The sequence below is a fragment of the Homo sapiens genome, chromosome 4 (assembly GCF_000001405.40).
Source record: "Homo sapiens chromosome 4, GRCh38.p14 Primary Assembly".
NCBI lineage: Eukaryota > Metazoa > Chordata > Mammalia > Primates > Hominidae > Homo > Homo sapiens.
This window is the reverse complement of record NC_000004.12, coordinates 23,099,960-23,123,624: the sequence shown is the minus strand read 5'-3', so window position 1 is coordinate 23,123,624 and position 23,665 is coordinate 23,099,960. Positions and strand designations below refer to the sequence as shown.

At 37.6% G+C, this 23,665-nt stretch overlaps 1 long non-coding RNA gene across 4 annotated transcripts in view; it reads right to left on the bottom strand.

The window, feature by feature from the left end:
• Nucleotides 1–23,665, bottom strand: part of LOC105374524 (uncharacterized) — a 507,306-nt gene that overhangs the window by 381,213 nt on the left and 102,428 nt on the right. The window contains exons 5-8 of one of the 4 annotated variants that reach the window (XR_007058432.1): nucleotides 3,209–3,305; nucleotides 2,064–3,074; nucleotides 1,189–1,250; nucleotides 148–243 (exon numbers count right to left, since the gene is read on the bottom strand). This is a non-coding gene — a long non-coding RNA (uncharacterized LOC105374524). Of the gene's footprint in view, nucleotides 1–147; nucleotides 244–1,188; nucleotides 1,251–2,063; nucleotides 3,075–3,208; nucleotides 3,306–23,665 lie in introns of those variants that run through there. The other 3 variants (XR_007058433.1, XR_007058434.1, XR_007058437.1) reach the window with 3 other exon arrangements.

The following is a 23,665-nucleotide window of genomic DNA, read 5'->3' as shown; positions in this document are numbered from 1 at the left end:
AGAAGCACTGATCTAGGTCACATAAGGAAAGACTTTGAGCCCAGTCACTTCCTTTATGTTGCAAAAATTGTTAGAGTACTAGGTGGTAATGGTGAATGCAGAGATTGTTAATACATGGGAGGTGCTCAAGAAAATACTTTTAATTAATCAATTTTTTAAAATTTTATTTATTTATTTATTTTTAGTAGGCTTGTTTTCAGTTGGGCAGAGTTCTGACAACGTTTCTTCTGGAAGTCCAGCCCACTAAGAGAAGAGAAAAGGCTGTGTTATTTAAAGAAAGCTAACTGCCTATCTAAAAAAGAAAGAAACAGAAGAGCTGTAAAAAGGATGTTCATCTGGGGTTATTTAGGACAGGGGCAAACAGTCCTTCATACCTCAGTAGCCCCCTATACTATAGCACAGTTCAATAATTGATGTCCATAATGATGATCTTGCATTATTAAGTAAAGGCAAAATTCTTCTCCAGAGTCTCTGGTCAAGTGTGTTCAAGTTCTATTTAAAAGATTTCCATTTGAAATATTTAAGTCGCTTTTTTGCAGACCCAAATAGGAAAAGCTTTGGTTATTTGAAACATTTTATTAGATAAAATTATCTTATTCTCAAGGATTCTAGAGTAATTTATATGTCTTTGTTAACATATTTCCCTTAGTGAGTAGGCATTCTTTAACAGAGGGGCTGTGTCTTATCTGACCTTAGGAACCTCATTCAGCACCTAGCTCAAGTGACTCTACACAAAAGTTCCCTAGAAGGACTTGGGCCCCAGAGGCTGATTAACTTCAAAAGCCTGCATTTTCCACTGGGAAGAGAGTGGGTCATCAGGGCCCTCTTGCGTACCCTTTAAGCTTGTGCTCTTCTTGCCAGATAAGCTAAAGAGATAGCAATTCTCAAAGTCACTGGCATTTATTGAAAGCCAAAGAAATTAGTGAGCTCTGACATTTATAGCCCTTAAACATTAAAGTCTTTAAAAGTAGTTTGAGTAAGGTTCAAGTCTTAAATGTAATACCATAAGAGTTGCTGTTAATTCTTCAATAATTACTCTGTTTATTATTCAACCATCAGATTTACAGTTCCAGTTCAGCCCTAACTTGAACAACACGGTCTTTCACCTTTCAAAATTTACAATTTCTGAGTGACCTAAATTATCTCCAATGGGGCATTCCTAAATGGTTCACAATTTACAGTGCTTACCGCATGTCAAGAGTTGTTACAGTTGCTTCACATGTATTAATTCATTTAATCTTCACAATAACCTAAAATAAATGAAATTTATTTTGCATGTGAAGATTCAGAAGCACGAACAGGCTAAGGACTTTACTCAAGATTCCAAAACTAGTAGGTGGCATAGCCATGATTTATCTTCAAAATCTGTGTCATTAACCATTCTGCAATGCAATCTTCCAACACAATCAGTTTCAACTGAGCAAAAGACAATAAACTCTTAATTATTCATTATGTGTGATGGAGGCCACAAAGCTCTGACTTAAGGCAAGCAAGAAAGCCAGAAAACCTTTCCATCCTACCAGTATTCTCCCTTTCTCTGCTACAGCACCTGCACTCCTTGCCCTCAGTAGGACCCTGGGAATGGATGGAACTGTGATTCAAATTTATGTAAAGCCACTGCTTAAAAACTGCTTGATTTCTCTGCCACATTTGCTATTTCAAACTCCGTTCTGGCAGTCTGGTTAGCAAGGACTTTGGGAAAAGATATTATGGTGTTGTTGGCTAATATGAGGTTTGGGAAGGATACGTTGATTTGACTTTGGTTGTGGCCTCCAATAACCTCAGTAATTGATGCCTGCCTATGTTCCTTTTGAAACTATTGTAACTTTTCGTGATATACATACATAAACACATACACACATACATATGTGTACCTATATTCCATGTATCATATATTAGACACACACCTGTATACAATCTAGATACTTACACATGTATATGTAAATCTGTTCAGCTATTGTCTTACTCTATAAGAGAAAGCTATGAAGGGTAATACTGGGATGAAATCAATTCAGAAAGGAGGTGGGCATTAGCTTAGTTGTATTGAAAAAAGTATAGAATACCTGTCAAGTGAGCTTGAATTCTAAACAAAATAAGGCGTCTGATGAGGACAGCAGTTCATCCCTGAAAGAAGACATTTTTTTTTCTGGACAGGTCTTGAGCCTGAAGTTTGATGCAGAAGCAGATAGGAGCAGTCTCTTTCACCTCTTCTCGGGGAGATGTAGGGCTCTGTCGGTATGGGTGAATGAGAAAATTCTTTTGGCTTTTCAGTGAATACAGAATAAATGTCACTTTCTTTGGAAATGACCTTTCTTCTATTCTCATCTTTGTGTATAAAGTTGCTGTGTGAGAGAATCCATGCCTATGAATTTCATTTCTCAAGGTACAACAGAATCATTCCATAGACATTTTCAACATGGATGGACTATAAAAGTATCAGAATCAGACATGAGAGTTGATTTCCTCAGTAATCTTCAAAGAATCACCATCATCATGTTCTCATCCACTGTAATTCAGTAGAGCTTTTAGATTCTTATCAGATGAGTATTTATTTGGATCCAGATATGTAGTTCATTTCTTAGAAAAGGGTTTGTCTGGAATTGTTTGGCTTTCATTAGAAAAAAAAATAATTGGCAATTGACAGCATGCACTCTTCTTTGGGGACTTTTCTTGGCCCTTCTGTCCATAAAACTCAGTAGCTTAAGTGAACCCCCTTGAAATTTTAGAGATGGGCATATTCACAATGGTGTTAATGAAAAATAAAAGTGTGTATGCTGTTGTAGAATTGCTAGAAAAAATGCCAAAGTCTAACACACAGATCTTAAATGGCCAGCATTTGTGGGAGGTGAATATTCTAGTTTGCTCAAGCTGAGAATTGCTACAAATGTGCTGCCTTCTTCCAGGACTAATAATGCCATGCCAAAAGCAATCAAGCTTTTAAAAAATCTCAGCTGTCTGGCAAATGGATGATCATTATTATAGCAAATCACTATGCACCCAAGAACAAATGAAGTTTATAGTGCAGTGTAATTCAATGGCCGGATTTCATCACCAGCTCTCCAAAGCAGTGCAATCTGTCATAAGAGAACACCAGGTAATTTCAATTGGAAGACCTAACCGAGGTCTAATTAAGTAACAACTGCAATCTCCTCCCATCCACCCACCCTCATCCCCTCCACCCCTAAAACATTCTCATCTAAGAAGTTACCTGTCCTGAATGTTCTCTCGGGAGATATTCTTCCAAAATTCTGCCCACAAATCTCATCCTTTTTGTGCCAGGCTGTACCTCAAAAGACTTATATCAGCTTTCAGATGCAAAGAGAAAAGGAGTAAAGCATAAGTAGAATTACTGAATTATAAACTTGAAAGAAGCAACTGGATCTTGTTTTCCTGAAATGAGACCATTTTAGTCCCAGTACAATGCTTAGAAAACAGCACTATGGTTATTAAATAAAGAAATAAATCAATATATAAAATGTCATTAATCTAGAATGCACTAATATAGGGTTTGTGTTAATACATAGAAGTCTCAAGCTTGGGTGTTGATCTGCACCATTTAATGATGAAAAGCCAATTGTTAATTATTTATTTCTGAGTCATACCTTGACAGCTTGTAGGTGTGGGTCATGAAGGATAAGCTATGTTATACAGCAGTATTTTAAATGCAGTATTTATATACAAATAATTATTATGCTAATTTTGCAGCATCTTGATCTACTCATTAGCGCCGATACAAAGAATCAGCATGGTGTGGTGGAAAAGCATTAAAAGGGCAATTAGAAGCCCTGGGCTCTGATCCCAGCTCCACCACTCATTAGCAGTGTCACCTTGGCCAAGTCACTTAACCCCTCTGAGTCTGTTTCCTCACCTGTAAAATGAATAGATTGAACTAGGGCATCCCAAGGGCCCGTTCCAGCCTACGACTCTATGATCTTAGTGAACGACTGAATGGCGGCACACTCCTTTTAATTCATCACGTGCACAATTCTCCCTCTTATCACAAGACTGGCTTTTGCACATGCTGTTTCCTGAGCCTGAGATGCTCTTCCCCCCACCACCGCCTCTAGTAATTAACTCTTCTGTTTCTTCAGGAAACCAGTTCCTCAAGCAAATGGCCTTCCTTGATTTCTCAAGTCAAATTTGATAAATGTCTGCACCTGAAAGGCGGCAGGGTTGGCAGGTGTTAACCTGACTCTCATTACTGTGTGAATAAACTTAAAAGTAAGAAAATTGCTCCATTTCAACTTTACTTCATTTATTTAATTAGATCATTTGCAAATTACTTCAAAGGAAGATTTTTGTTTGTTTTTGGTACAAGTTTTCATGTCAGAATTGCAGTGACGTGAATTTGAACAAGAGTTTAAAAATTTTATATATATGGTGACAGTTGGGGAAGTCCTATGCCTAGTTCCAACATAAATTTGAACCTACATAGTTTATGTCTCTCATAAATACTATCATTATTTTGTTTGAATATGTATATAATTTCAGCCTTTACATTTTCCTATCACAATTTCCTTTGTACATTCATAATTATGAAGATTCTATGCATATAAAATCTTACTGAACCAACTAAATACCAGGTCATTCTTTTTAGTTTAATCTTGTATTTCTCTTGCTTTTGAAGCCTTTTATATTTTCAAGCAGTTTTCCCCAGTCATTTTCTCTGGTTTTAAACCTTTCCATTGATAATGAATTTCGATTTGAAGCACAGAAATTTCACATTTGCAGAAGTTCACTGTATGAATATATTTCATGCTATTAACTTGAGTCTCAAATCATATGTAACTAAGAACAGGTGCCCCCTGTCATCTTTGTCTTCTACCCCTTTCTTTTTCCAGAAAGAAGAAGAAATTGTGATTTATAGTAAATCCTGGCATTAAAAGAATGTCTTATATGTCTCCTTTGGTGATAGTTCTGGACTTGAAGAATGACATGTAATAATAAACAGTCAGGTTTTTAAAGTGACAGTTAAGAATTTCAAGGAAGAGAAATGACATACCAAATAGCAATATTACCATCAGAAGTGTGGCTAAATAATTTGAGTCAAATGAATCGAATTCCCACTTTTATTTTATTATGCAAGCACATGGCTATGGATTCCAAAGCCGTCTCTGCCCATTTTCTCACACAATATTAGTTTTTACCTGGTATCACTGGGGACCCTATACTTTGTGAAAATATCATAAACAATGGGCCTTTTATTTGTAATTATTTTAAACTTATCAAAACCCAAGATGCTGCCACCATGGGGTTCATGAAAATGTTTTATATACACCCATATTTCAAGTCTTCTCTCCATTTGAATTTGTGGCTTGGTGACTGTTAAGTTCTTAGAAAAACAGAAATTGGGCTGCAGCCATTCTGGAGAGGCTTATTTCTTTCTCTTTTTGTCTTTGACTTGTACTCTGTAGTTTCATGAACCAATATCCTTTGATGCATCAAAAAGGATTCATTTTACTTGGTACTTGAGTTTATAAACAAATGAACATATGAGTTCTAAGAGAAGATATCTATCATTTGTTTTCTCCGAGTAATAAACCACCCAAAGTTATGAGTCAGGTATCATTTGGGTGGTTCTTCCAGTCTGTGCCAGATCTTATCTTTGCCTATTGACATCTGCATTCATCTGGAGGTTTGGCTGGTGTTTGGCAGGTGGACTGGTGTGGAGCAGGAATTTGTAGGCTACAGCTCATGGACCATACATGTTTTTATTTATTTTTTTAATGTTGGAACACAATCATGCTCATTTGTTGAACAGAGTAGTTATGACAAAGATCATATGTCCTGCAAAGACTAAAATATTTATCATCTCACCCTTTACAGAAAAAGTTTGCTAATCTCTGGTCTAGGAAGTCTCAGATAGGATAATTTGTCTCTGTTCTGTGTCAGCTAGAGAGAGAAAAAGCCACAGTACACCTCTGCTTCCATCACATTTGCTAAAAGCAAGTTGCATGAACAATCTCAAATTCAAGGACTAAAGAAATCAACTTCACCTTTTAAAGGGAGAAGCAGCAGCATCACATTACAAAGTGATATGCTCATAGCGATGAGAAAAATGTGTTTCCACTCTTAAGTATAATCATGTTACTAACTTCTTTATGCAGTAGTACCAGTTTTTGAACTAGCAGAATGTGTATTGTTGTTTTGCATTTAGGTTCTCACTGAATTCCTTGATTTATAACTGAAGTCCTCTTCCTGCTCAGCTCCCCTCACCCTAAACAGCTAAATGTTAGTGTTCCAATTTAGAATCAGAAACAAAGACCAGACATGCCACTATGAAGTGCAGTTGACATCCTTATAAGGGAGACATATTTCCTTGTATTCTGGTAGCGCTAATTTCCCTTACCTCTCAATGTCTAGTTATGATGATGATGTAGAATGGAGAGGGGTGGAGAAAAGAAGCCACTAAGGCAGGAAAAGATGGCATTGAAAAACAGTGAGCTTTCTTGCCGAAAGAATCAGACCAAAGTTCAAAGGAACTTTGTGCATTCTGAGTCATTATCTAGCTGTTCTTTCAGTTGCCTTCAATCAGGATGGTCTCATCCCAGCAGTTCATCTGATGTGACTGTCTCATTTGAAGTGATGTGTCTTTGAGGCTCTAGCTAAACTAACTCAAGATGGAAAGCTGGCCATCTAACGGACCACTCAGAAGATGAAGGTATCTAGAAAAATTTGCTGCTGAACTCTCTTGATCCTGAACAACAGGATACTAGGCAGAATCATCTTGAAACCTACCACTATTCTGGAGCAGCTCATGTTATACCTTGTGTGAAATATGTGATCATTTCTTTGACTTGATACATGCCTCATCCATTAGTAAAAGTATGAATACCTTACCCTGTCTTTCTCTGTTTTCTCCAAATTGTAATGCAGGTCTATGAGAGTGTTGCATTTTTAAAAACCATATTTGACAACCTTTCCAAATTCTTTGGGACAGTTAAAAATTGAATTGGGACTCACTTTCCAAGAATATGTTACTTGCAATAATACTATCATCATTCTCTGAGTGAGCCATTAGATGTGTTTACAGATCAGACGTGCAAAAGACATTTTATCATCATCATTTTTGCTGGTTTGTATTTAGAGTGCTTTTTGTAATTTCTACTTTTAGTTGTTAAGAGTCTTTCTGGTTGACTTTTTACATGTGCAAAATCAAAATGCAGAAGCAAAATTCCTGTCAATGTTGAAAAAAAAGATATTTAAGAACTGTTCAAACCAAATTTATATTTTAGTCATTTGATTTCCCCCAAATGGAGAAAAAAAGCCTAATCAACAGAAGAGCTTTTTCCCAGTGGTTCATAATTCTCTTTAAGTAAGGATTCAAGAAAAACATTCTCCCAGATACACTGAGAAGAAACTCCCCAAAGACATGTTAAAGCAATGAGAGAGTGAAACATCAGAGGAGAGAGGAAGAAATAGCCACAGTGGAAAGACCCATGGTCTGAAAACAGTCAGAATTGAGATGACTGCCTTGGATAAATGCCTAATGAGCCATGGTGCCAGCTGTGGACTTCATGGACAGCCTATCCGTACAACCAGTGAGAAGAGCCCTGCAGCCAGTCACATAATGGTTGTTTTGGAAACATGGATGACCGAGGGAAGAGGAGGAATAAAAAAATGCAACTTTATCCGTGGTGAAATAAAACATCAGCCACACATCCAACTCAGGATTTTCAAAAGTTTCCCTTTTGAAGTGTTGCATTGTAAAACCTTATAAATTTGGACTCTATTGTAGGTACTTTCTCCCAGCAGTTACAATAGATTCCAAGGAAAATTTTATTGTCCTCCTAAAGTCAGAGAACTTGGTGGGAAAGAGTGATATGGCAACTCAAGTTTATCTTGCAGAAGTACATTTTTATCCAGGTTTATTCTTGTCACAAAACCTGCTCCTTTAACACGGAGTGGGATAGGAAATTCTTCTTTTAAAAAGAACTTATCTCCTTTTTGTTTCAAGATTCTGGCTTAAGCAGAGGTCTCAGTTCAAAGCCACCTCCTCACTGGTGACCTTGACACCGCAAAATATGCTAGCCCCATCCACCCTCATGTTTTTTTCTTTATAGATCTTGTTACTCTCTAAAATCATTTTGTTTGCTTGTTTATAATCTGTTTATCCCATAAGAATTGGAGTTTCATGAAAGCAAGGATCTACTGGAGATTGTTCAGTATTATATTCTTAGCTATTAGAACAATGCCAGGCCCATAGTAGATGCTCAATAAATATTGTCAAATGAATGAATACATGGGGTAGAGCTGGAGGACGCTATATTACTTAGCGCTATATGGTAAAGGAAGACATCTCTAAGAAGAGAGATTTGTGCTGAGATTGGGAGAATACAGTGGGAAACAGCCGAGACAAGGAGAGTGGGGAGCTGAGCAGTGGATGAGCTAGAGATGGAAGCAGGGGATAGGGCATGCAGGCTCCCATAAGTCCTGGCAAGAAATTTAGATTTTATTCTATGGAAAATGAGAAGGTGACTTCCATGTTTTATAGTTTTGTTTCGACTTCTATCAACAACCCTGTAATATAGTCACATTTTTCTCAAACTGAGATAGTGGTAACTATAGCTTTAAATGGCTAAGTGGTTCAAAATCTCACAGTCAATAGGAAATATGAAAGGAGTCTAAGCCTGGGTCACCCAATCCAAATGAACTGTCATTTCCCCTACTCCAGGGTTCCAAGGAGCTGTGCTTTGCAATACTTTAGTTGGTCTAGTTTGGATAATTTCTTTCTCTTGAAAGCAACAAGTCTACATAATCTATGCAAAAGCTATTATTTCTTGATACTATTTAAACATTGCAATCTTTCACTATGTCAATCCCCACTTTAGAAGGACTGCTAAGAACGTGAACTCATAAGACCTAAGCTGCTAGAAAAGCCACAGAAACCTCAAGCTCCATCCTTTTCAAATCTGAAGAAACAGGGGCAAACATGAGTTCATTTCTAAAACCATGTGCAATCTTCTGGGGTTTTGTTTTGTTTTGTTTTCTGTTCACAATAAGTTTTCTGACTCTACTTTGGAGAGTGCCCTCAAGCTTTTCATCATCTCTGGAAACATAATTGACAAAGATTCTTCCTTTCTCTGTAGTAATTAGAAGGTTTCTGTTCTCTCTGCCCCAGAAGAAAACACTTTTCACCAATTTTGCCTTTACTGCTTCAGAGCTCCGGATGAAATTCTGGGAACTACACGAAGTGTGTGTAGGTGTGGCATCATCACCATTAACCTGGAGCAAATCTCTCCCCCTGACACTGATGTGCTTCCCATCTCCCCAGAGAGTGTGAATCTGTTCAGCAACACCTGCTAACAACTGAAAAAGGAGAACTGCCTCCTGAAGGGATAATCTCACACAATTTTTGATCTAATGTGGCAGCCAGAAAGAAGGCTTGCCAGGGGTCAGAAGCATTGCTATTCCCGAACTGCCAGGCACCACCCCACAAGCATCTTGTGAGGCCTGGGGGACACAGTCATATAGGAGTTGACAAGGCACTCTGGTAAAAGGGCCATTGAAGACTTTTGATGGCAGGCTGGGAGCTGGCCTTGCCCCCTCTGAAATGCAAGCTGCAGGAGAAACTTACCTCATTTAAAATACCCCTCAGAGAAAGAAATAGCAGAGTGAACTTGGCAAAGCAGTATTGAGCCAATCTTTTAAAAATGCCTATTTCTGTGGACTGGCTGCAGAGATGCCTATTCTAGGGGGTTGTCTCTCATTGCCCATTTTGGAGGAGTGGGTTCTGAGCTGTGTGTCCTGGCCCCCTGTCCTAAATACAATTTTCCAGGTGGCTATCAATAAAATTAGATGATTTGTCAGAAAGAAAGCAGGCCAGGTGCAGGGTCCCCAGGATCCCAGACACAGCCTGCTGCTAATGGAATCAACTGCTTAATGAATGAGGGGCTTTACACAGACCCTGAGGTTAAAAGTCAACAGGAAGGGCTTCAACAACAACTTTATTAGGCAGATGCGCACCATGGTATTCCAGCCTAAAAAAGCCCGTCTCGGATAGTTTCTTTTCTATTTAAGGATCCCAGAGAACAAAAACACATTAAAAAAAAAAAAACTTAATAAATTACCCCAGGATAATTTGCTTTTCAGGTGATTAAAACCACTTGGCATGAAGTCTGTGCTTTAAAATATCCCCCAATATGTGCAAATAATAGCCTGGAAGTAGCAGCTCATCACATTTGTTAGGTAGAATTTTTTCAACGAAGGTCAATATATATACCAGGAAATTACCAGTGCCGGAGTACTTAACACAAGTTGGGAGCAAGAACTGATACACAGCCAATGTCATTACATAGTTTATGAATTTAAGAGCCAAGTTTGTTAACTTCATTTGGAAAACACAGGACTCAGTTCCAGTTTTAATTGGCACATGGCTAGTGGCTTATGCAGCCACTCCAAGCCTGCTGCAAAAATTTCTAAACAGAGAGATAAAACAGATAGTCTTACAACTTCTCCACAATTTAAAACTAAAGTCAACTTATTGCTAGACTCTTGAAAGAATTATTACTACCAATGAGGCCAATGAGAATACAAACTATATAATAAACAAAAATGAATACACACCAGTTAACAAAGCTTTTTTAAGAACTATAAATGGATAATCAAAAATTTTGGAAACAGCAGCATAAAGAAGAAAAGCCAAAATCAACATGCAGGAAAAAAAAGTAAATCCTAGATAAAATGGAAGCAGAAGAGACCTTTAAAAAAAATTAACATGGAGAAAACATCAATATACTATATCAATAAATATGAACGAGATTCTGTAAAAAAGAAATACTCAGAATGAGTAAGAGTTCCTAGACAGTAAATGCAGAATTGCTGGAATTAAAAACTCCGTATAAGACAGGGCAAATAGGCCGGGCGCGGTGGCTCACATCTGTAATCCCAGCACTTTGGAAGGCTGAGACAGGTGGATCACAAGGTCAAGAGATCGAGACCGTCCCGGCCAACATGGTGAAACCCCATCTCTACTAAAAATACAAAAATTAGCTGGGTGTGGTGGCATGCACTCGTAATCCCAGCTACTCAGGAGGCTGAGGCAGGAGAATTGTTTGAACCCAGGAGGCAGAGGTTTCAGTGAGCCGAGATCGCGCCACTGCACTCCAGCCCTCCAGCCTGGGCGACAGAGTGAGACTCTGTCTCAAAAAAAAAAAAAAAAAAAAAAAAAAAAGGCAAATAAAACTCAGAAATCCCCCAGAATGTACAGAAGGGAAAAACAAAGAATGCAAGACAGAGAATCAGAAAGTGAGAGAGACAATGTGTAAGAGACAATACAGCATAAAGAAAACCAGTACATACGTTCCAGTGCCTAGAATAATAGGATTCTCAATAAGACAAAAAGAATAAATTATTGAAGAAATAGCATCTAGAGACACAAAAGGATTGTGACACTAAACCTAAAGGGCCCACTGAGTGCCAGCACAGTGAATAAAAAGAAAATCACACTAAACATATTATTGTAAAATTTTAAGACCCCAAAGAAAAAAGAAAGATCCTAAAAGCTTCTAGAATGAGAAAACTGATCAGACTAGCATTTTTTCAGCAACATTGAACACTAGAAGGTAATAGAAGAGTGCCTTCAATAATCTAAGGATAAATTATTTTCAACCTAAGGTAGTATGCTGAGCCAAATCTATAAAATGTGGAAGTGAAATATTTTCAGACAAGCAAGGACTCAGAAAACACAAACAGAAAATAGGTGTGGTATAAGGTCCCAAATTCATCTTTCACGTCATTTTGATGTAGCTAGTCTATGGTCCACATGTTCAGAAATATTAGATTGTGAATCTCTTGAGGACAGATAAGATGCTGTTCCTCATGATGTAAAGCCAAATGACAATATTTAAAATTAGGAACCATGTGCATCATTTTGCTTTACAGTTCTAAATCCAAAATGTGATTTAATCCCAAGAGGAAATAATTCACCTGATTTTTTGATAGATGACTGATATGATTTGGCTCTGTGTCCCCACCCAAATCTTTTCTTGAAATGTAATCCCCACTTGTAGAGGGAAAGATCTGTAATCCCCATGTGTGGAGGAAGAGAGGTGATTGGATCATGGGGGTGGTTTCCCCCAGGCTCTTCTCATTTTAGTGAGTGACTTCTTATGAGATCTGATGGTTGTGTAAGTGTTTAGAAGTTCCTCCTTCATTCTTTTCTCTCCTGCTGCCTTGTGAAGAAGCTGCCTGTCTTCCCTTCATCTTCCATCATGATTGTAACAAGTTTCCTGAGGCCTCCACTCCAAGTGCACCAGTGAGTCAATTTTTTTTTTTTTTTTTTTGAGAGGAAGTCTTGCTCTGTCACCCAGGCTGGAGTGCAGTGGCGTGATCTCGGCTCACTGCAAGCTCTGCCTCCCAGGTTCACGCCATTCTCCTGCCTCAGCCTCCCGAGTAGCTGGGACTACAGGCGCCCACCACCACGCCCGGCTAATTTTTTGTATTTTTAGTAGAGATGGGGTTTCACCGTGTTAGCCAGGATGGTCTCTATCTCCTGACCTCGTGATCCGCCTGTCTCGGCTTCCCAAAGTGCTGGGATTACAGGCGTGAGCTACAGTGCCCGGCCACCACTGAGTCAATTAAACTTCTTTTCTTTATAAATGACCCAGACTCAAGTATTTCTTTATAGCAGTGTGAAAATGGACTAATACAATGACTTAACTTAGTATGGGTTCCCCTACAAGAGCCCAAGACAAGGTTGGAGGGCAAGCGTTTATACGGGATGGGATCCCAGGAAGCTTCAATCAGCGAGTGAGGAAATAACAAAAGGAAGGGAAGGTAGTCAGGAAGGGGCATTACCAAGCAAGTTTTGCTGTGAGAAACAGGCACTTAGACCCACTGCAGACTCCTGGGAGAGAGCTTAGGCCATGTCTTGGAGTTGTCTCAACCAAGAGACTAAGAAACTGGGAAGCTTTCATTCCATCATTGAGCTATTCCCATGAGGACTACTGTTAGGAATGCCAACTCCTCAGCACTTTTGCCCTGTCCCCAAGTGTGCCAAAGAAAGGCTTTATGGGTAGAATCCCAGGTGCTTGCAGTATGAAGTTACTACCCTGCCCAGAGAGGTGAGTGGAGAAGAAATATGGGTAGGGGCTGCCAGAATCTCTTATCTGTTTTGGAAAGGTCATTAGATGAGAAGAGAATCAACACAAAATCATAAAACAACAGAATTTAGAAAAAAATATTTAGGTAAAGAGCTCACAGGAAGAAAAATCTCTGAAAAATATTTATTATAATAACCAGAAAAATGTTTAGAGAAATGTTTTCTATTCTTGGGAGGATACATACCGTATAGTCTCTGCGTAACTAAAGCAAAGAGGCATAGGAAAGAATAAACTGGTGGGACAACCTCCTCTTCCAAACAAGAGAAGGAAGAGGAAACCATGAGAAAAGAAAGTTTCAGGAGAAAGAAAGATGGAGTTCATTGTAGATTCAAATTCTACATTGAAATGAAAAATAGTACAATTGATAGAGTGGAATGCAGAATCAGTGATACAGAATAAAAATTTGAGATCTTAGAGAATGTGCAAGAAAAAGACAAAGCAATACAATTTAGTGAAAAGAAGAGAAAATTGAAATTCTAGGGACAAACTGAGATTAGCCTTTCTAGCGTTCTCCAAACTTGTTTAGCACTGGAGCTTCTCCCCTCCTACAACAGTATTATACACATGATGCAATAATAATAAAATTCATGGTAAAAAACCAATAATAACACATTACAATGGCTCGACATTTGCCATGCACCAACACTGTTCTAATGGCTCTAGTGCACTAACTCATTTAATCCTCTATTATCTAGCTTTGGACTGGGAGAAAGGTAAGCAGCATGGGGCAAGAGAGAGAAACAGCAGCACTTAGAACAAGGCAGAAGTCAGAAACCAGGGCCACTCCAAGAACGGACCTTTCCCACTTGCATTTGTTCCTGACACCTGCTGGACTTTTCCATTGCTCTTTTGATCTCTGCCTTGCCTGTATTCCTTAAACTACCCCAGGACCCTTTCATTAAATTTCAGGTTTTGCTTAAGGTAGTTAGCTCTGAATTTCTGTCACTAGCATCATAAAAGTCCTAACAAATACAGAATACCAGCCTAGGAAAACTACAAATTACCACTGTTGCCAAGGAAGAAAATGAAGTATTTGAAAAAGAACCAATAATCAGACTTAAAGAAAATTATTTTCTGAGCTCAAAGAGAGTGGGTTTGATGTGGACATGCCCTAAGGTGATGTCCAATGCATACACCCTTCCAAAATCTCTTCCCTGGAATGCCCTGCTGGCACAGGTGAGAACCTGTGACTCACTTCTCACCAAAAGAACATGGCAAAGATAATGGGATGCTACTCCAATGCTTACATTACAGATTATAAAGCCCTGTGTTAGCAGATGGAGAGAGATTCTCCTTGCTGGCTTAAAGACATAACTTACCATATTGCCAGAGGGACCATGGAGTCAGGCATCTTCTAGGAACTGAGGGCAGCCTCCAGCCAACAGGCAGCAAAACACAGGCATACAGCTGCAAGAAAATGAATTCTGCCCACAATCCAAATGAGCTTGGAAGCAGATTCCTCCCTAGGCAAGCATCCAGAGGAGAATGCAGCCAGGTCCCTATCCTTTGTGGAGACCCTAAGGTAGGACCCAGTCAAGCTATGCCTCGACTCCTGGACCACAGAGGCTGTGGGCAAATAATTGTGTGTTGCTTTAAGCTGCTAAGTTTATAATTTGCTATACAGCAATAGAAAAGTAATACAAGGTTGACAGTCTTATCAAGTTTTCAACAAAAAAGTGAAAGAATAAGAATATTTATCCTGGCAAAATTTTTATATTAGAGCCTAGAAGAATTTGGTATTATAACCATAAAAAACAATGTCCTACAAAGACAAAACCAGGAAAAAGGAAACTGCTTATATAGTTTCAAAAACCAAATTTAGTTATTCTAAAAGAAATTAATCTCAGCTTCTTATCTGAAACACTGAAAGTGTGGGGGCAGTGTGGCAACATCTACTGGGCAGGAGAAGGATTTTTCTTAGCTTTTTCTACCATGTTTTCTTTCTGCTTGAAAGCAAAGAAAAATACATTCTCAGGCATACAAGAAGTCAGAAACAATTTTATTTATATTTATATATGGGTATGTATATGGGTGTATGTGTGTATATATTTCAAGTTCCGGTTTGATGATTATATGTACATCAAGATACACTCATATACACAAATAAATGGGCATAGAAATAGATAGATAAATGCATTAAATGTATGTGGTGGTTTCTGAATTCTTGTATTTTTATATACACATCTATCTATGCATCTTCATATTTCTACATATATGTTTATCTTCAAATGTGTGTATATGTGTGTGTATTAGTCCATTTTCATGCTGCTGATAAAGACATACCCAGGACGGGGAAGAAAAAGAGGTTTAATTGGCACTTACAATTCCACATGGCTGGGAAGCCTCAGAATCATGGTGGGAGGTGAAAGGCACTTCTTACATGGCAGCAGCAAGAGAAAATGAGAAGAAGCAAAAGCAGAAACCGCTGATAAGCCTATCAGATCTTGTGAGACTTATTCACTATCACAAGAATAACACAGGAAAGACCAGCCCCCGTGATTCAACTCCCTCCCTCCCTGGGTCCCTCTCAAAATAAATGGGAATTCTTGGAGATAAAATTCAAGTTGAGATTTGGGTGGGGACACAGACAAACCATATCAGTGTGTATATATTTCTGTATCAGCCAACATGCATTGAACAAAAGTTGAACAAAATTAAAACCTCAGTAGTAAGTTTTGGTATTAAAAAGGTTGTGATTTTCTCGTTAAAATAGCCATGGTCCAACAACTAGCTTATTCACCACAATGTCCTAAACAAGAACATCAATTTATATGATACATTTGACTGAATTAGCCTCAATAATGAACCTGCGAAAGTATCGAGGCAATGGTGATATTTCACAATATTATCTGAAAAATCTAAATGAAAAGAATTTTTTTGATTCATTATCTTTCATCATAAGAATAACCTGTAATGAACAAAATAAAATAGACGTTTAAAATTTCTCACTTGTAGCATCAGATTCACAAATGCAGATAAATGTCATGTGAAAAACAAACAAATTTCAGCTACTGAAGAGCAGAGGGCAGGTAGTGAATAGAAGGAGGAAGGTAGAAGAATATACAGCCAAATTTGACTGCTTTGGTTTTGGTAATAGTACAATTAGAAAATCGTTTTTTGCTAATTCTTCAACTACCCTTTAACAAACGGGATAATATAATGCTCCTTACTAAGAAGAATAAATATGAAATTAGAAATATGAGTGTCTTTTTAAGAAATAAATCTATATACATTAAGGAAAAATCTGAAGAAATCCCAGGAACACAGTGTTAATTCAAAGGCAATACAATGTATGATTCTGACTTGACTATTTTGAACACCTTGTCAGCAGAGGATCTTGTTTGCATAGGCTAAGTAGTGCTGTACCTCTTGTTTCTTAGCCCTCTTGTCAACCTGCTGTTAAGAATCTAAACGATAAGAGTGATCACTAGTCATTTTTAAAATCTACTTTAAAAATAATTTCATCTAATTCTATGTCAGTGTGAATGTCATGTGTTGTAAAAAAATATTTTAGGTGATTGTATAAAATGACATTCTCAAACACAGCTATTAGTTAAATGTTTAAGAGATAAAGAAATCTTAGAATCTCTTTTATTTTTTTCTCCTTTCCTACCTTGTATACGTGTATTAGCTTAAACTATGAAAACTATGTAATTATTATATTTGAGATAGCAAATTATTCTGTGTATCTCTCTTCTACTGTGGCTCAATAAAGTACTTCCTAAAAAACTAAATATAATCCTTAACTTGTTTGACAGGATTCCTTTTCAACAGAAACATAAGTTTTATGTAAAACAGTCTAAAGGCCAAGCAAACAAACTAAAAATAAATAGACCTGTTTGTACAATTGAGCCAGTAATACACTTCTAGGAATTTATGCTAAAGAGATAATAAGAAATATAGTCAAATATTATATGCAATACTATTTTGCACAGCATTATTTATAACAAATTTGGATGCATTCTAAAAATAAAATTGAAAGTGTGGTTAAATAGATTATGGCAAATTATTGGGCAGATAAACACAACAGTTATTTACTAAAAATGCATGTGTTGAATGACTTGCCTTCTTTTTCATTATTCTACTAACTACAAGCAAATAAAATAATAATTTAATTTTTTTCTTTCTATAACAAATTTATACAGGCATTGTAGAAAGCTTACTGTATTAGTCAGGGTTCTCTAGTGAGACAGAACCAATATGAAATCGATGGATAAATGAAAAATGAGAAAAGGTTTATTTGGAAAGTTGAGAAGTTTCACAATAGGCCCTCTGCAATCTGAGGACCCAGGAAAGCCAGTAGCACAGCTCAGTCCAAGTTCAAAAGCCTCAGAACCAGGGAAACTGATTGTATAACACCCACTCTGAGGCCAAAAGCCTGAGAAAGCCAGAGGCTGCTGGTGTAGGTCTTGGAGTCCAAAAGCTGGAGAGCCTAGAGTTCTGATGTCCAACGGCAAGAGAAGATAAGTATATCCCAGGTCCCAGAGAGAGGAAATTGCCTTTTGTTCTATCCAGGCCCCCAGCTGATTGGACAGTGCCTACCAGTATTGAGGGTGGATTTTCCTGACTCAGTTAACTGACTCACAAGCCAGTCTCCTTCAGAAACACCCTCACAGACACACCCAGAAGTAATCTTTTACCAGTTCTCTAGACAACCCTTAATCCATTCAAAGTGACACCTAAAATTAAGAAGCACACTTTTAAAATGAAAAACTGTGGGAAGAAGAAATAAATCACCCAAAATCTGCCACACAGTGATATCCACTATTGGCTTCCCAGCTCTATCTCATTCTCTTGTAAATAATAAATGTAGTCACTTAGTGTATTAGTCCATTTTCATACTGCTGATAAAGACATACCCAACACTGGGCAATTTAGAAAAGAAAGAGGTTTAATTGGACTTACAGTTCCACATGTCTGGGCAGGCCTCACAATCATGATGGAAGGCAAGGAGGAGCAAGTCATATCTAACGTGGATGGTAGCAGGCAAAAAAAGAGTTTTGTGCAGGTAAACTCCCATCTAAAAAAAAATCCATCAGAGCTTGTGAGACTCATTCCCAATTACAAGAACAGTGCAGGAAAGACCCGCCCCCATAATTCAGTCATGTCCCACCAGGTCTCTCCCACAACAGGTGGGAGTTCAAGATGAGATTTGGATGGAGACACAGCCAAGCCGTATCATTCGGCCCTTGGGTTCTCCCAGATCTCATGACCTCACATTTCAAAACCAATCATGCATTCCCAACAGTCCCCCAAAGTCTTAACTCATTTCAGCATTAACTCAAAAGTCCACAGTCTAAAGTCTCATCCAAGACAAGACAAATCTCTTCGCCTATGAGCCTGTAAAATCAAAAGCAAGCTAGTTACTTCTTAGATACAATGGGGGTACAGGTATTGGGTAAATACAGCCATTCCAAATGGGAGAAATTGGCCAAAACAAAGGGGCTGCAAGCCCAATGCAAGTCTGAAATCCAGTGTGGCAGTCAAATCTTAAAGCTCCAAAATTATCTCCTTTGACTCCATGTCTCACATCCAGGTCACACTGATGCAAGAGGTAGGTTCTCATAGTCTTGGGCAGCTCTGCCGCTGTGGCTTTGCAGGGTACAGCCTCCCTCCCAGCTGCTTTCATGGACTGGCATTGTGTCTGAGGCTTTTCCAGGTGCACAGTGCAAGCTGTCAGCAGATATACCATTCTGGGTTCTGGAGGATGGTGGCCCTCTTCTTACAGCTCCACTAGGTGGTGCCCCAGTAGGGACTCTGTGTGGGGGCTCTGACCCCACATTTCCCTTCTGCACTGCTCTAGCAGGGCTTCTCCATGAGAGTTCCACCTCTGCAGCAAACTTCTGCCTGGGAATCCAGGTGTCTCCATACATCCTCTGAAATCTAGGCAGAGGTTCCCAAACCTCAATTCTTGACTTCTGTGCACCTGCAGGCTCAACACCATGTGGAAGCTGCCAAGGCTTGGGGCTTCCACCCTCTGAAGCAGCAGCCTGAGTTATATCTTGGCCCCTTTTAGTCACAGCTGGAGTGGCTGGGATGCAGGGCACCAAGTACCTAGACTATACACAGCATGGGGACCCATGGTCCAGCACACAAAACCACTTTTTCCTCCTAGACCTCCGTGCCTGTAATGGAAGGGGCTGCTGTGAAGATCTCTGACATGCCCTGGAGACATTTGCCTCATTGTTTTGGGATTAATATTCAGCTCTTCATTAGTTATGCAAATTTCTGCAGCTGGCTTGCATTTCTCCTCAGAAAATGGGATTTTCTTTTTTATCTCATTATCAAGCTGCAAATTTTCTGAACTTTTATGCTCTGCTTCTCTTATAAAACTGAATGCCTTTAACAGCACTGAAATCACCTCTTGAATGCTTTGCTGCTTAGAAATTTCTTCTGCCAGATATCCTAAATCATTCCTCTCAAGTTCAAAGTTCCACAAATCTCTAGGGCAGGAGCAAAATGCCACCAGTCTCATTGCTAAAACATAACAAGAGTCACCTTTGCTCCAGTTCCCAACAAGTTTCTTATCTCTGTCTGAGACCACCTCAGCCTGGACCTTATTGTTCATGTCTCTATCAGAATTTTGGGCAAAGCCATTCAACAAGTCTCTAGGAAGTTCCAAACTTTCCCACATTTTCCTTTCTTCTGAGGCCTCTAAACTGTTCCAACCTCTGCCTGTTACCTAGTTCCGAAGTTGCTTCCACATTTTCAGGTATCTTTTCAGCAACTCCCCACTAATTCCCGGTACCAATTTATTGTAATAGTCCATTTTCACACTGGTGATAAAGACCTACTTGAGACTGGGCAATTTACAAAAGAAAGAGGTTTAGTTGGACTTACAGTTCCACATGGCTTGGGAGGCCTCACAATCATGGCAGGAGGCAAGGAGGAGCAAGTCACATCTAACGTGAATGGCAGCAGGCCAAAAGAGAGTTCTGTGAAGAGAAACTCCTTTTTTTTTTAAACCATCAGATCATCTGAGTCTCATTCACTATCACAAGAACAGTACAGGAAAGACCCACCCCCGTAATTCAATCACCTCCCATGGGGTCCCTCCCATAATATGTGGGAATTCAAGATGAGATTTGTGTGGACACAGCCAAACCATATCACTTAGCATTCTAATTTCAATTAGTATTTTACCATGTATAAATTCCAGAATGCCTAGGTCCAAATTCCAGCTAGCCCACATATGAGTTGTATGTCATTTGGCAAGTAATTAAATATTTTCACATGTTTTCTCACCATCCAAGGGGAGACAATAATAGCACTTACCAATAGTGGTCTGATGCTAAGAGTTATTACTTAGAGTTATTACAGAATAATTGGATGAATTTAGCACTTATTATACATAAAGCAAACCAAATAGACCTAAAAGTAGAGAATCAGTGAAGATATAAAAGACATGAAACTACTACTAAATAACTTGAACTAACTGACATTTATAGAACATGCCTCTCAACAACAGAATACACATTTTTTTAAAGTGCAAATAGACATTTCTCAGGATAGACCATATTCTGAAAAATGAAACAAATCTAAATAAATATAAATGCACTGGAATAATACAAAATGTATTCTCTGACCACAAGCAATTAACTAAAAAATCAATAACAGAAAAATACAAGGAAAATCTCCAAATAGTTGAAAATGAAACAAGACACTTCTAATAACACAAAGGTCAATGAAAAATCACATTGGAAATTAGAATATATTTTGAACTGATTGAAAATGAAAATGTAACACATCAAATTTTGTAGAAATGCAGCTAAAGCAGTGCTCAAAAGGAACTGAATGCATGAAAAATTAATATTATGAAAAAAGAAAATTTTCTAATCAATGCTGTAATTTTCTACCTTAAGAAACTAGAAAAAGATAAAACAAGTTAAACTTAAAAAAGAGGAAGGAAAGAAATAATATAGATAAAAGAATATATGAATTATATACAAAAGAGAAAAACAGAAAAATCAATAAAACTGAAAGCTGTTTCTGAAAAGTTTAATGCAATTAATAAACCTCTAGCTAAATAAATAAATAATTGTTTTTAAAAGAGAGAGAATGTAATTACCAAGTTCAGGAATAAAATAAAAAACGTCACTACTGATCCTACAGCTATTAATAAGATAATAAAGGAGTACTATGACAACTGTTTGCTTATTCTACAACTTAGATGTGATGGAAAAATCCCTTGAAAGATACAAATGACCAAAGTTCATTCAAGAAGAAATAGATAACATGAATATTCCTTTATCTATTACAGAAAGTACATGTATAATTAACAGCTTTTGTACTAACACACACATAAATGGGATGGCATGAGAATCTTTAAGCCTACATGGCTTCACTGGTGAAATCTACCAAATAGTTTCCTGAAAATTGAAGGAGTGAAACACTTGACGACTCACTTTAAAAAAGTTAATATTACCCATGTTAAAAGAAAAACTTCGGCCAAATTAAATTTAAGGGAGTTTAATTGAGGAATGAATGATCCACGAATGTGGTAGCCCCCAGAATCATGGCAGATTCAGAGAGACTCTAGCTCTTTATAGACAAAAAAAAGGGAAATGACATACAGAAATCCGAAGTGAGATACAGAAACAACTGAATTGGTTACAGCTAGGTGTTTGCCTTATTTGAACATGGTTCAAAGAGTCGGTTACATTTGATTGGCCAGAACTCAGTGGTTGGCACAGGTGTGGGCTACAGTTGTTTTACACCTCCACTTGTTACAGTTCACGATGTACAGAAAAACCTTTAGGCTGAAGTTAAATATGTAAGGAGGCAACTTTAGGCTAAACTTGATTAACACCCAAATATCAAAAGCAGGTAAAATACAAGAAAAAAGCCTACAGATCAGCATATCTGTATTAGTCTGTTCTCACACTGCAATGAAGAAGCACCTGAGACTGGGTAATTTGTAAAGAAAAAAGGTTTAATTAACTCACAGTTCCACATGGCTGGGGAGGCCTCAAGAAACTTACAATCATGGTGGAAGGCACTTCTTAACAGGGCAGCAGGAGAGAGAATGAGAGCTGAGCAAAGAGGGAAGCCCCTTATAAAACTATCACTCCCCTTATAAGACCATTACCCCATGATTCAATTACCTCCCACTGGGTCCCTCCTGTGTCATGTGGGGATTATGGGAACTAGAATTCAAGACGAGATTTGGGTGGGGACACAGCCAAACCATATCAATACGTTGTGAACATAAACACACAAATCATTACCAAAAAATAAGCAAATTCACTCCAACAATACATTAAAAAGACATTACATCATGAACAAGTTGTGTTTATGATAGGAATGTAAGATTGGCTCAACATTCGAAAATTAGTCAATATAATCCATTACATCAACAAGTAAAAAAAGAAAAACCATATGATAATCTTAATAAATGCAGAAAAAGTGGTTGACAAAAAATTAACATTCATCATGAAAAAACTCACAGGGATCTCAGAATGCAGAGGAATTTACTTTTCATGATAAAGAGCATATGCACAAAAATTACACATAACATTATGCGTAATGGTGAAAGACTTAAAGAATTAATTAAATATTTAAATAATTGTTATTAAACTATTGTCACTTGTAGACAATGATATAATGTATATTGAAAATACTAAGAAATTTTGAACTTATTAAAATTAATATTTGAGTTTGGGAGAGTTGCAGAATAGAAAATCAATATTCAAAAATTGATTATATTTTTCTAATCTAGAAGCAAACATTTGGAAATAAAAACTTTTTAAAAATGCCATTTACAATAGCATTAAAAGACAGAATACCCAGGGATAGATTTAACAAAATATGTGCAAGATCTGTACACTAAAATCTACAAATAATAACTGAGATAAATTAAATAAATTGTAAATAAATGATGAGAAATACAGTGCTCATGGATTGAAAGACTCACTATTCTTAAGATGTCAATTCTCCCCAAATTGATCAACAGATTCAACACAATCCCAATTAAAATCACAGCATATTTTTGCAGAAATTGCAAGTCGATTATAAACTATATATGGAAATACAAAGGACCTATAATAGCCCAAATAATTGTGAACAAGATGAATAAAGTTAGAAGACTCACACTACCTTACTTTGAGATTCACTTGCAATCTATAGTATTATTGACACAAATACAGAAATATAGTTCAATGAAATAAAATAGAGAATTCATAAATAAACCTACAAATACGCAGTTAATTGATTCTTTTGAAAAATGAAAAGATAATTCACTTGGGAAAAGATAGCCTTTTCAACAATGCTGTTGGAACAATTAAATAATCATGTACCTAACAATAAATCTCAACCCTTACATTACAGTATATACAAAAATTATCTCCAAGTGGATCACAGATCTAAATGTAAGATCTAAAACTATAAAATATCTAGGAGAAGATACAGGGAAAGTTCTTTGCAAACTTGGGTTACGTAAAAACATTTCTTAAATAGAACCCAAAACGTGAGTCAGAAGAGAAAAATCAATAAATTTGATTTTATGAAGACTCTTGGTTTTCTAAAGACACTGGTAAGTAAATGAAAATACAAGCCACTCACAG